Source organism: Homo sapiens, chromosome 1 (genome assembly GCF_000001405.40).
Source record: "Homo sapiens chromosome 1, GRCh38.p14 Primary Assembly".
Taxonomy (NCBI): domain Eukaryota; kingdom Metazoa; phylum Chordata; class Mammalia; order Primates; family Hominidae; genus Homo; species Homo sapiens.
The window spans coordinates 223142548-223156528 of NC_000001.11; the positions used below are offsets into that span (position 1 = coordinate 223142548).

Consider the following 13981-nt stretch of genomic DNA (forward strand, 5'->3'; position numbering starts at 1 on the left):
CCTTAGGAAATGGCTTTCCAATTGTGTTTTCACAGGAGCATGGCCACTGGGCAATGATCTTCACAGGCAGGCTTTTTTTTCCCCCTCTCAACATAAAGGCCAGCAATATTTACCACGGAGTCTTGGCCAGTGTGCACTGCCTGGTGCTGTGGGGTGGGGTGTTTAGGGCCTTTTGTTGAGCAGCTCAGTGACTTTCTGGGATTTCCATGGCCCTGCTGGAGATGGCCCTCTGTCTCCCTTTTCCAAGGAAGAAAGTGACTGGGGACAAGCCACCTGCCTCTTCCACAGGGTGGGGGCGAGAGTGACAGCGAGACAGCACAAGAAGGACCCGCTCTGTTTCAAAGCGAGGATGTGAGTGACTTCGTCTGTGCCGAGGTCTCTTCGTCTCCAACCTGCCGGGCACAGGGCACCCACATGACACGCTCACCCCGTCCCTGGGCCGAGGGACCCCACGTCTCGCGGGTGCCGCGGGGCAGAGAGCGCCGCCTAGTGAGGCGGCGCGAGTTGGACATAGACTGGAAAATAGACCCGGACAGCCCGGGAGGAGGGCGGAGAGGAGTCCGACCTCCGCAGGCAGCCGCGTCCCCGCCCCGCGCTGCCTACGACTTAGGGCCCCCGGCCCATCCCCTGCCGCTGCAGGGCGCTCACCTCTGGGACGCCTCCCCGCGCCGCCTGCGCCACGGTTGGCTCCTCCCGGACGCAAAAGCGGCGCCCTCGCTCGGGCTCCTGAAAACCTCGCGGCCCCGCCCACGGAAGGGCCCGCCCACCTGCCAGGCCACGCCCCCGTCTCGGCCACGCCGCAGCTCAGGGTTTTCTCTGAGGGCTGTGAGAGGCTAGGCCCGGGGAGAGGAGGCAGAGGTTATGCTCCGGTCTCTGCAGACTTCCACAGTGTCTATCGAGATCACACATGCCAGCATTGCCCCCTCCCATCCTCTCCTCATCGTACGGAGGAGGAAACCCAGGCCGAAGACCTGAAGTGTCCAAAAGCACAGCCAGGCCAAAGAGAAGCACCATCCCATGTTCTCCCACTCCCACTCCGGTGCTTCTTCAGGTAGGCTAAACTTCAGGCTAAAATGTGAAGATCACAGTGACACATTCCTGTCAGCAGAATCTGCTGCATATGTTTGGGAGCTGGGGTGTTTGGAAGCTCCGATTTTGTGTGGAGGACCCAAGAGAGAAGACAGACCCTTCCTGTCCTATAAGAACAGTGCTCCTCCTGCCCTAACTTCTCTTTTCCTTTTTCTAACTCCCTCTGCCTATGGGGTTTGCTGAAACTTTCAGGAAAAGGGACGTGTCAAAAGAAAGAAATGGACACCCCAGAGGCCGTGCAACCACAGGGTTAAAAGGAGGTAGCCTTATGAGAAAGCGGTGGAGTGGCTTTCTGGGGTGAAACCCAGTTCAAGGACAGAAATAGCACTGTCTTGAGTTAAGACTGGTGGTGGGGGAAGCCTGGGGGTGGGGCGCAGACTGCAGGCGGAGGAGCTCCCTGCCACCTGCCACTTGGGGTGTAATCACAGAGCAGCTGACACTCCCCACTCACTGCCTGGAGGAGCTTGGCGGTGGGATCGGGCAAGGCGGGAAAGATAGGTGTAAAACAAAGCCTGGCACTTAATTACAGTGCAAAGATCTCATTATAGAGTCTTCTCAGCTCCCCTCCTCGGCTGGCAGCTTGAAGCCTGAGTGACAAATTGCCTAGGTAGGTCTCCAAGGGCTGTATGTAGAGGGATGAAACCACCTCCCTGCCCACCCGAACCCCACTGTGGGGGCTGTGGAGAGGGAGGGGATGTTCACACTCTGGCATATGCAGGGGGCAGTGGGGAAGTCTGTAAGGGCACCTAGAAAGCAGTAAGAGCTGGGAGCCACAGTGGCCCTAGCCTGACATAAATAACACCTTGCTGGGGCAAGCCCAGTGTTCCCTCTTTTGGTAGTGGAACCGAGGGCAAGGTTGGGGACAGCTTGACGTGTGGCACTGTTTACTCTGCATCATAGGTGGATGCTGCAAGACCAGCAGGGGCCTGGCTTATCATGCAACTTTGTGAATATGTGGGAGAGAGGAGCCTTCCAGACGGTGTTATGGCCTCCCAGGAACTCCCAAAGCCCCCTCCCCAGGGTGGCATCTGGTTTTGGACACTGGTTTCTGTCACTGAGCTCCAGGGACTCATGTCACACCTGGAAGAACTTTTAGATTCTGTCTGCCTGGCCATGTCTTCCAACAGCCGAGATCATTGAGGAAGATGACAACTTCTACCTGAACAGCCAGGACAGCTTAGGGTCTTCTCACATGTGGACCTTGAAATGCACTTCTGTTATTTTTCTCCAGTATATTCAGGGGAAGGGGGCTGGTGATCAAAGCTTTTGCTGAGCAGGAACAGAAGGGTTGTCACTTGCTTTTTTCTCCACTGAAACCTAGAGTAGCAAACACATCCTCGGGGTGCTATGTGATGCTCACAGGCAGAGCCCTGCCAGAGGTTCCCGTCATTCCCATATATTAAACCTTCAATGTCTTCCCTATGAACTACAAACAAAGTTTATATTCTAGGTCAAAACCCCATCGTCTAGCCCCTGACAACTTCTCTAGGCTTGTCTGCTTCCAGCCCCAACCTCCCAGTCCCCAGCCTCAGCAGCTGCCTTCCACTTGCTTAAGGTCTTCACGCATGCTATTTCTTCTACCTGGAATACTCTTTCTCCATGACTTTGCGTAGCTCACTCCTACCCACATTTTAGTGTTCCCTGTAATGTAACTTCTTCAAAGAGAACTTCCCTAACTCTTCTAATTAAATTAGGTCCCTCCCATTATTCTTCCTCTTTATAACCTATTCTTTTCCTTCACAACTCTCATTTCAATTTATGATTTTACATGGACATGTTTATTGGTTCAAGGTCAGCCTGTCCTTCATACTTAATAGATTTAATAGACTGTAAGCCTCACGAGGGTAGGGGCCATGTCTGATTTGTTCACTTCAAATCCAGTATCTGACAAGTGTCTCCCTATAAATATTTATTGATGAATGAATGAGTGAATGAATGATATCAGCAATCTTTATCTTAAAAGATAAAATTAGAACTCAATAAACTTGTAAACATAAGCAGTAGTGACTATTTCCATTAAAAAAGGTAGCAACCAAAACAAGATTCAAGGAAATACAAATACCAAGGTTTATTAGGTACTTCTTAAAACTAACCATCCATTCAACAAATGTGTATTAAGCTTCCGTAGCCCTTGTGCTTCTTGCCAGAAATACAAATCTAAATACGATCTGGCTCTCAGGAGCTTGCAGCCTGGGGGAGTAGGGTTGGACATGTAAATAAATGGTTATAGTGTAATTTGATAAATGCTGCAATAATATAGGTATCTAACTCTGCCTGGGAGTGCCTATATCTGGGACTTGGTGAAAAAGAAAAAGATGACTTTGTCACCTGGACGGGACAGAGGGAGGGCATTCTGGGCAGGAGACGAATGAAGGAATGTGGCTCATTTGGGGAACTGCCAGTGGTTTGGTAAATGGAGCGCAGGTTGTGTGAAGGATGGAGGCGGTTGAAGAGGTAGGTAGGCAATCACCAGATCCCACGTTCATGCACATGTGTTCTGCTGAGGAGTCTGGGCTATGCTCTGCCTCCCTGTAGGGCTTGGGGATCCACTGGATGGTGTTAAGCAATGGAGTGGCACCACACCTTCATATTTATAGACAAGAAGTTATAACCCTAATGGCAGTGTGTAAAATGAATGGAATGGGGGATGGGATGGTTAGCAGAAAGTAAGCCCAGTTAGGAGGCTACAGCAATTGTCTAAGCAACGATAATAAGAGTCTAAATTAAAGCAGTGGCATTCATTCATCTCTGTTGATATATATTATTTGATGGTTAGTTTTTTGATGATAAATATTTGTTGATGCTTAAAATATATTTTGATGCATAATATTATACCCCATCCCATGCTAGGTGGTAGGGTATAATATTAATAGTCAATATTTATTGAGTGCTTACCATGTGTCCTGTTCTTTTCTAAATACTATACATGCATTAACTGATTCAACCCTCACCACAACCCTATGAATCAGTACTATTATCATCCCCCATTTTACCAATGGGGAAACTGCGGGAGAAGAGGTCATATAACTTCCACTTACTTAGATACCTAATAATTGATGGAGTCAGGATTTGAATCAGGTAATTGGGCTGCAAAATTCATGCTGTTAAGCACCATCCCTTACTGATATTGTGGTAATGAACAAGCTGGACAAGGTCCCTGGTCTCATGGAACTTACATTCTGGCACTGGAGATGTAGAGGAGAAGACAGAGTGGGGCAAGGTTTAGATTGTAGAATCAGAAAAACTGGATCCTTATAAGAGAAAGAGCAGTCAGGGCAAATTCACAAGACACTGGCTTTGTGATTGGTGGATAGTTGTGTCAGTCATGGAGTTAGGAAATACAAGCTAGGGGTGGTAGGGTGGCGGAAGGTGAACTTGGAGGGATGAGTTCATTTTGGGATAAACTGGTGTTGGACTGACTGTGGGATATGGAGGTGGAGCCATCGAGTGAGCAGTTGAAGTCATGTGTCCAGAGCATAGAAAAGATGTTTATATGGAGACAATGGGGGGATCAAAGATGGGGGGACAGTTGGAGACATAGGCGGAAAACAATAGCTAGAAGACAGGCTTAGTCCAAGAGTTCATAAAGGAAAAGATTGATAAATTCAACTGCCTTAAAATGAAGACCTTGTGTTCATCAAAAGACATATTTAAAAGAATAAAAAGATAGGAAACAAAACCAGAGAGATGCTTGCAACACATATAACTGCCACAGCCCAAGCATCCAGATTATCTTCAGAACTCATACAAATCAGTAAGAAAAGTCAGTAGAAAAATGGACAAAAGATACAGGCAGATACTTCATAAAAGAGGAAATATAAGATGACCAATAAATAAATGAAAAAGTACCAAACCTCATTAGAAATCTTAGAAATGCAAATTAAAGCTATAATACATCACATATTATATAAATCATATTGGCCAAAAATAAAATGTCTGACAATAAAAAGTGTTGGTGACGATATGGTGCAAACAGAATTCTCACTTGTTGCTAGTGGAAATGTGAATTGGTATAACCACTTGGTAGAAGTTTGGCACTGTCATGGAAACTTGAAGATTCACATGCCCTAAGACCTAGGAACTCCATGCCTAGGTGCATAACCTGATATGCTCATATGCCACAATATATATACGAAAATCTGTAAGGCAGCATTGTTTGTTATATCCTTTGTACTAGACAGCTTCTATGATGGCTCCCTAAGATTTCTGCCTCCTGATATTCATGCCTTTCTGTAATCTTCTCTCCTTAAGTGTGAACTGGACCCAGCAACTTCTTCTAACAAATAGAGCATGACAAAATTGATGGGATATCACTTCTGAGATTAGATTACAAAAGGATGTGACTTCTGCCTTGCTCACACTCTCTCTCTGGCCCTCTTGCGTGCTTGCTCTCATGAAGCTGGCTGTCATATTGTCAGCTGCCCTATGGAAGGACCCATATGGCAAGGACTCAAGGGAAGCCTCTTGCCAACAGCTGGTGAGGAACTGAAGCCATCAGTCTAACAGCCTGTGATAAAATGGTTCTTGCCAACAACCACTTAAGCGAATTCAGCATCGAATCATCCCCAGCTCAAGCCTTAAGATGAGACCATAGCCCCAGCTAACACCTTGATTACAGTCTTGTGAGAGACCAGAGCCAGAGGACCTAGCCAAGAGTCCATGCCTGGAGTCTCAATCTACAGAAACTGTCACATAATACATGGTGTTTTAATCCACTGTGTTTTGGCATGATTTGTCACACAGCAAGATAACTAATACAAATCACCAAACTAGAGATCCCTCAAATGGTCATCAAAAGTAGAATGGATAAGCTGGGCTGGGCTCAGTGTCCCATGCTTGAGCCCAGGAGCTCAAGATTGTAGTGTGCAATGATCACACCTAGAAATAGCCACTTCACTCCATCCTGGGCAACATAGTGAGAGCCAAAAATAAAAAATAAAAATAATAAATAAATAGGAGTCATTGAATGAATTTCAAGGTGGGAGTGGCCAATGGTGCCAACTGTTCTAGAGTCAAATACCAAAAGAAGTGAAGTTTCCCGACTGGATGCGACAAGTTGCAGGTTTGCAGACCTGATTCTGAGATGGCCCTCGAGATTCCCATCTTTGGCACCCCTCTCCATTTTTGTGGGTGGGATCTGTGACTATAATGGGATCACTGCTCCCTTGATTAGGTGCTGTTATATGAGACTCCATCTGAGCAGACTGTCTAGTAATTCACAGCTGGCCCCAAAGAAGCAAATGGCCTTGTTATGAACTACTTACCTCAGGTCCTAGCCGCATGGCCCCCTTCAAAGGCTAAGAGTGACTCTCACCAACCAGCAAAGACAAAATAGGATGTCATTTCTACAGCTACAAGGAACTGGTTTCTGCCCACAACCCCAAGCTCCAGAAGGAATTCAGCCCAGCAAACACCCGGATTTCAGTCTGTAAGACTCTGAGCAGAGACCCCAGCCACACTATGCCTGGATTCCTGACTCCTTGTAACTGTGAGATAATAAAAGGCTAATGTTTTATGTCAATAAATTTCTTGTATTTTGTTATGCAATAGAAGAAAATAAATATAGCAGGTCATCAATGACCTAAGGGCAGAGTAGGTGATAGAGATCATGTGAAGTCTTTAAAATAGGATTATGACATACTTTCCCTACCCAGTTGACCTCCTGCCTGGATTTAATAAAGCCTCCTTGACTTTGTTACCTGGCACATTTGGCTCAAATCAATCTCGACTTCCACCCTGTGCTGCCGTAGCACCTCATTCATGTCATTGGCTATACTTTTCACCTTGAATCTAAATTCGATCCTGTTCACTGCCCCTGCCAGGCTGTGAGCTCCAAGAAAGCAGAGCTCTTTCCAGAGTTTTCTTTACATCCCTGGCTCTGGGTATGACACATGATGAATGCTTAATAAGTGTGGAACAAAAGAGTGACCCAAAGAAGGGCGAAGACTCCTGGTTCTTCATCATGCCCATGGGAACCATGCTTTGGGGATGTAGGGAGTGGACATTCTCTGTGGCAGCTTCAGGCTTCTGGGGTTCTGTGGTGCCACTGATGTGTCATGTAATTTGAAAGCCCTGGAAGAAACTATGGGTGACTCTGGTTGTCCCCTCTCCAGGGCCAGTTGGCTGCATTCCACGGAAAAGGAACCCATAGAGAGGACAGCTAGGATGGCCTTGTCTACCGCTGGCCTCAGATCTGAGGAGTGAATGTTTCTAATAGCCTCTTGGCATGGTTATTTTGGAGCTCCTCAGGACTGTCAATTACTTGACAGCATGAAACAGTTGGAGGACTCAGGGATATGACAAAAGCAGTGTAATTCCTGTTTTATAACTGAATCTCAGAAGAATCCTTTGGCCAATACCCTAGGTCAGGAAAGAAATAGCTACTTGGCTTTGCTCACACTCCACTTAGGTGAATTGATGTCCATTTTGTTCAGGGCTAGATTTCAACCTTCTGTTGTTGTGGAAATATCCCCTGTTGGATGTCAATTGCTTCCTTCTTCTCTTCCTTCTGCTTTCCCTTTCTCCACCCTTTTTTCTCTCCTTTTTAAAAAATTTCCTTTCTCTTTTTGCCAAAGCAAAGCTTTTCATTTCCCAGAAACTGAGCTGGCTGCTTCTTCCTGGTGGAGATATATATATATATATATATATATATATATATATATATATTTTTTTTTTTTTTTAGATAGGGTCTCAAGCCATCCTCCCTCCTCACTCAGCTTCCCAAGTAGCTGGGACTGCAGGCAAGCACTACCACTCCCAGCTAATTTTTTTGATTTTTAGTAGAGACGAGGTCTCCCTATGTTGCCCAGGCTGGTCTTCAACTCCTGAATGCAAGCAATCTCCCCGCCTCAGCTTCCCCAAATACTGGGATTACAGGCTAGGTGTGAGCCACTGTTTGTCCTTCCTGGACATTCTTGTTTCCACTCTCCCTACCCCTCCTCCTCCATAGCCCCCGTCAAGGTAGAGTGCCTTCTACTTTGTTCATGAGTGCCCAGCAGTTGAAGTGATGCAGGTCCACCCCTCTGTGAACCACGTATCTGAAATCGCAGTTACAGGCATAGCTGCAGCACTGCCAGGATGGCATTACAGGGTTGTGCATTCTTCAGATTTTCTAGCGGGCCAGGGGCTCTGGTCCCAAGGGAGGCATGTGATGGCAGAGGGTACAGGCACTTTTCTACTAGCAAAGCTTCATTGTGCTGCCTGGCAACTCCAATAATCAGAAAGTGAGTGATTCTCTTTTTCCCTTTTCCTCTGCTTATGCCATGAGCATGAATTGTTTTCTTCTCTCTCCATTTTCATCTACTGTCAAGTTGTTGCTGCATTTGAGTCAGGGAACATGTCTCTGAAAATCATGAAGAGGACCTGGTGAGACCTATACATCACACATTTTCTATCAACCCTCATGCTCTCCCCAGGGGGTGCTTATAAGGTTAAAACATAGCTCCCTGCAGGGCAATGTCCAAGAACAAAAAAACCGTATAATTGGAGTGCAGTTATGTTCTGGTGGCGTGTTGGAGGGAGGCTCCCCTATTAGATGAGCTACCATCTGCCTCAGGAGCCTTCAGTTGCCTGGGTCTTGGGGGAAATCTGCCCATCATGATCAGAAGCCTCATGGTTTTGTGCCATCTCCTCCCTGTGGCTGTCATGAGGAGGACGGGTGGGGTGGAAATGGGCTCCATGACCTCACTTCACTCAGACTTGATGCCCTTTTAAGTAATCAAGCTTCAAAATAACCTTAGGTGGTATTGCAATTTGGGTTCCTCAGAAACCACACTGTAATAAAAAAAAGTTTTTGTTTTTAATCCACTTGACCTGGAAACAGTTTGACCCAGTGGGTGGCCATCTCCTCAAAGCTGTCTTCTCCCTTTCTTCCTGACCTTTTTATCACAGCTCTTCAGGAGATCCAGAAATATCATTTTCTCTCTGAAATTAGCTCCCCCACCCACTTCCATGTCCTGGAGGTCCCTGTGTGCTTCCAGTCTTAAGGTGGGGCCATGTTGAGGCTGTCTTGGATGACTGCTCACTGCCCACAGTTAATAGACACAAAGGTTTATCCAGACTTTCCTTTGAGCTTTCTCTTGTAGCCAGTTCTTTATCTCTAGTTTCATCCACTGTGTCCTAGTCCAGGTCCTCATCTCTTCATTTGTTCACTTGACACCTGTTTATTGATGCCCTGCTCAATAGTGACCTGAGCTTGAGAGCCTGCTAGACCTGCATTCAAAGCCCATGCTCTTTTACTTCCTATCTGTGTGACGTTCATGAATTTTTCATTTTCTCTAAACCTCAGTTTTTGATCTGTAAAGTGGAAAGAATAATACTTATATGGTTTGGATATTTGTCTCCACCCAAATCTCATGCTGAATTGTAATCCACAAATCTGGAGGTGGGGCCTGGTGAAAGGTGTTTTTGTCACGGGAGCTGATCTGTCATGGTGTGATGCTGTCCTCATGATAGTGAGTGAGTTCTCTTGAGATCTGGTTGTTGTCAAGTGTGGCACCTCCCTCTCTACTCTCGCTCTTCCTCCTGCTTTTGCCATGTGAGGAACCTCCTCCTTCTTCACCTTCCACCATGAGTAAAAGCTCTCGGAGGCTTTCCCCAGGAGCTGAGCAGATGCTGGGGCTATGTTTGTACAGCTTGCAGAAGTGGGAGCCAATTAAACCTTTTCTCTATAAGTTACCCAGTCTCAAGTATTTCTTTGGCCTAATACAGAAAATTGGTACTAAAGAGTGGGGCATTGCTATAAAAATACCCAAAAATGTGGAAGCCACTTTGGAATTGGGTAACAGGCAAAGATTCGAAGAATTTGGAGGGCTCAGAAGAAGAGAGATGAGGAAAAGTTTGGAACTTCTTAGAAACTAGAAACTGGTTAAATGGTTGTGACCAAAATGCTGATAGTGATAAGGACAGGGAAGTCCAGGCTGCTGAGGTCTCAGATGGAAATGAGCAACTTATCGGGAAATGGAGCAAAGGCCGGTACCATGCTTCCTGTATGGCTTGCAGAACTGTGAGCCAATTAAACTTCTTTTCTTTATAAATTACACAGCCTCAGGTATTTCTTGATAGCAATGCAAGAATGGCCTAATACAAATACCTACCTTATCAGGCTGTTAACAGGATTAAAATAATGCAATAAATGTGTATTAGTCAGCGTTCTCCAGAGAAACAGAAACAATAGGATAAACGGAGAGATAGATAGTTATACAGATGAGAGAGAATTTATTGGGGAACTGCCTCACATAATTATGGAGGCTGAGAAGTCCCCACAATATGCTGTCTGCAAGCTGGAGCCCCAGAGAAGCCCAAAGAGCTGAGAACCTGGGGAGGCAACAGTCTAACTCTCAGTCTCAGGCCAAAGGCCTGAGAACGTGGAGGGCTGTTGGTGCAATTCGTGGAGCCTGATGTCCAAGGGCAGGAGAAGAAAGGAGTCCCAGCTCCAGAAGAGAGAAAGCAAGAATTTGCCTTCCTCTGCCTTTTTGTTCTGTCCAGGCCCTCAATGGATTGGCTGGTGCCTGGCCACACTGGGTGAGGGCAGATCTTCCTCACTCAGCCCACTGATTCAAATGCCAATCTCCTCCAGAAACACCCCCACAGACACAGCCAGAAATAATGCTTTGCCAGCTATCTGGGTATCCCTTAACCCAGTTAAGTTGATACCTAAAATGAACCATCACAGTATGTAAATTGCTTAGTGGGAGTCTGGCAGGTTATAGGCACTCAATACCCTAGTTGTTGCTTATTGCTACGGGCCAGCTGCTGTGCTAGGCACCAGTTAGAATTTTAAGGAGCCTTACCTTTTATAAGGATGAGATGGATATGCACACAGTGAGTGCTATACAGTGCTACAGTTGCAACAGGAAGTGATCCCTGGAGTCACAAAGCCCCCTGGGAAGGGTCAGGAAAAGCCTCAAGCAGGAGGTAACTACTGTGCAGTTTTTTGAAAGACAGGAAGCTGAGTCACCTTTTCCAGACCCCGCTATAGTCAAGCCTCATCATCTCTTACCAGCAATCATGCTGACCTCCTAACTGGTCTCTGCAGAACTTCTCTTCTTCCTCTTCAACTCATTCTCCACGAGCAGTCAGAGTGACTTTTAAAGCACAATTCAGATTGTGTCATTCCATTAATAAAACCTCCCAATGGCTTCTACTTGTGCTTGGAATACAATAAGGATTCCTTTGCATGGCCTGCAAGACCATATGTGACTGGCTCCTGCTCAATTCCCATACCCCCTTGTCCCTTCTGTTCCTCTTCCCAGCATGTGTGCCTGCAGTGCCTACTGCCTGGAATGCCTGGACAGCTCCTTCTTATCCTTCAGGCTTCAGCTAAAACCTTAATTCCCTGTGCCCCTTATCTAAAGCAAAACCTTCCTTCACCAGCCCCCCATACCTATTTTCTGGTCAGTGTGGTATTTATTCCCCTTCACATCCTGTACCATCATCTGAAATTAGCTGTGTAGTCATTGGTTTACTTGTTTAGTGCTTATCTTCCCTACTCAATCTAAACTCTTTCTTGTTTGTTGTGCCTGGCCCATTGTTGGCCCAGGGTTGTTGTTCAATAATCATTTGTTGAATATATTAATAAGCCGTGGATATCTTGTTGTGGCTGGAAAGCTGACAAGGCTGGAAGGGCGGGACCTTTAGTATCTCAATTATTGGCTTCTCGCCTTGTTCTGGTCAACTCTGGTACCATTAGAGAAAGTTTTCTAAAACCCACTGTCTTCATGCCACTTCACTTTGATAATGTCCCATTGCTCATTGCATCTAAAATTATTCTTCTCGATTTTATTTAAAATTATGTATTTTTTTCATTTCAAAATTGGCATCTGGTCATTGCAAAAAGATTAGAAAATTTAGTAAAGAAAGGAAAGAAAGAAATCGCCCCTAGTTTTTCCATCTAGTTATAACCATTGCTTACATTTTTATGAGTTTTGTTCCAGGCTATTTGCTATGAACATTTTAAATGCACTCATCATATGGCAAATATAAAATTCAATACATTTATTTTTAAGAAATAATTTTTTTCTGATTGTAAAAGTATACATTCAGCCATAGAATATTACAGAAAATGAAAATGCAAAGGAGAAAAAAATTACACAGATTCAACTGCATTCTTACATTCTGTTTGTACACACACACACACACACACGTACACACACACACGCCCCATACTTGGCATTTCACTGTAACCCACAAAACAAATTCAACTTTACAACACATGAAGGACATCTGAATATTTTATAAAAGATCTTATTGCAAGACATGAAAGAGAATCCACATCACATCCTATCCATCAGAAACTTTTCCACATTCTCCTCACTCTTTTACCCCTAGCTCTCCTTCCTGGGCAGTGAGGTGGAGTGGGGAGTATAGTGATGGCTGTGAGCACAGATTCATGTTCCGGAATTTCTTGGTTTGATCACCAAGTTCTGCTACTTACTAGCTGTCAAACTTTGGATGAGCGACTTAACTTCTCTGTGTCTCTGTTTCCTCATTTGTCAAGTGGGGATAATAATGGCACCTACCTTGCAGAATTGTTAGTACTTAAACAATGCTTAGAGCAGTGTCTGGCACATAAGGGGTATTAGCTATAGTAATATTACTCTCCTTTTTTGCATCCCCAATTCTTTCTATGCTTTGGGGCAATTCAACTGCCACCTCATGTTGTATCCCCCAGTCAGCAAAACAAAAGCCACATGGCTGGAAAAATCACAACTACCAATTGCACCGTCACCATTCACCCTAAGGCTCATCAAGATAAACGTCTAGCAAGAGGAAATATTTCCTGAGAGAGGATTTCTGCTGCTTGGAAAATAAGATTCATGCTTGTCTCACTTTCTCAAGCTCCCTTTATTAACATACAGGCCTTAGTATGTGTATGTATAAATTACATAGTCAAGATCACATAACATATATTCTTTTTAAAGAATAATTAACAGGCCAGGCGCAGTGGCTTATGCCTGTAATCCCAGCAGTTTCACAGGCTGAGGCAGGCAGATCACTGGAGGTCGGGAGTTCAAGACCAGCCTGGCCAACGTGGTGAAACCCTCTCTCTACTAAATATACAAAAAAATTAGCCGGGCATGGTGGTGGGTGCCTGTAATCCCAGCTACTCCGGAGGCTGAGGCAAGAGAATTATTTGAACCTGGGAGGTGGAGGTTACAGTGAGCAGAGATCACGCCATTGCACTGCAGCCTGGTGACAAGAGCAAAACTCCATCTCAAAAAAACCAAAAAAGGAATAATTAATATAACAATGTACACATGTCTTAGATGGAAGATTATATTAACAGAGGCTAATGACATCATAATTGCTTCTTGGCATTTTATTGCTTTTTAAAAATCAAAAACAGGCCAGGCACGGTGGCTCATTCCTATAATCCCAACACCTTGGGAGGCCGAGGTGGGTGAATCACTTGAGCTCAGGAGTTTGAGAACAGCCTGGGCAACATGGCAAAACCCAATCTCTACAAAAAATACAAAAATTAGCCAGGCGTGTTCGCGCTGGCCTGTAGTCCCAGCTACTTGAGAGACTGAGGTGGGAGGATCACCTAAATCTGGGAAGTGGAGGTTGCAGTGAGCCGAGATTATGCCGCTGCACTCCAGCCTGGCAACAGAGCAAGACTCTGTCTCAAATAAATAAATAAATAAAAATAAAAAAACACAAACAAAAATTTTATACCACTCAAGATGTACAAAAATCACCATTCAAGTTCCTTATTATTATGTGGCCCATTAACGGAAGACCAAAAAAAAAAAAAAAGGATCCTGAGCTCAGTAATTCTCCTGGCGTAGCATTGTACATGTTAATCATTTTCTATTGTTTGCAACTGCTGGAACAGAACAGCAGCAGTCATTGTTCTTGCTGCCTATCAAGGATGACAAGAGATACCATCACA

At 45.2% G+C, this 13981-nt stretch overlaps 1 protein-coding gene and 1 long non-coding RNA gene across 14 annotated transcripts in view, besides 1 other annotated feature; one reads left to right on the top strand and one right to left on the bottom strand.

Moving 5' to 3' along the window:
* Positions 1–701, bottom strand: part of TLR5 (toll like receptor 5) — a 33845-nt gene extending 33144 nt beyond the window's left edge. For 10 of the 11 annotated variants that reach the window (XM_006711506.4, NM_001437624.1, XM_006711504.4 and 7 more), the window contains exon 1: positions 649–701. The gene's annotated coding sequence lies outside the window, so the exon portion shown is untranslated. Of the gene's footprint in view, positions 1–113 lie in introns of all 11 variants that reach the window. The other variant, XM_047429367.1, reaches the window with a different exon arrangement.
* Positions 490–859: a silencer, noted in NCBI's record as "silent region_1840". NCBI's record gives its function as "represses an Ori minimal core promoter by ATAC-STARR-seq in GM12878 lymphoblastoid cells {active_cell/tissue: GM12878}" and the evidence as "EXISTENCE:reporter gene assay evidence [ECO:0000049][PMID:35858748]".
* On the top strand, positions 808–6610 carry LOC124904522 (uncharacterized). 3 transcript variants are annotated; one of them, XR_007066895.1, is made up of 2 exons: positions 808–1051; positions 5341–6610. It is a non-coding gene; the product is annotated as an uncharacterized LOC124904522 (long non-coding RNA). The 3 variants fall into 3 exon arrangements; XR_007066893.1 differs by lacking the exon at positions 808–1051 and adding an exon at positions 1535–1696; XR_007066894.1 differs by lacking the exons at positions 808–1051; positions 5341–6610 and adding exons at positions 1544–1696; positions 1990–3086.
* Positions 6611–13981: the final 7371 nt, after the last annotated feature.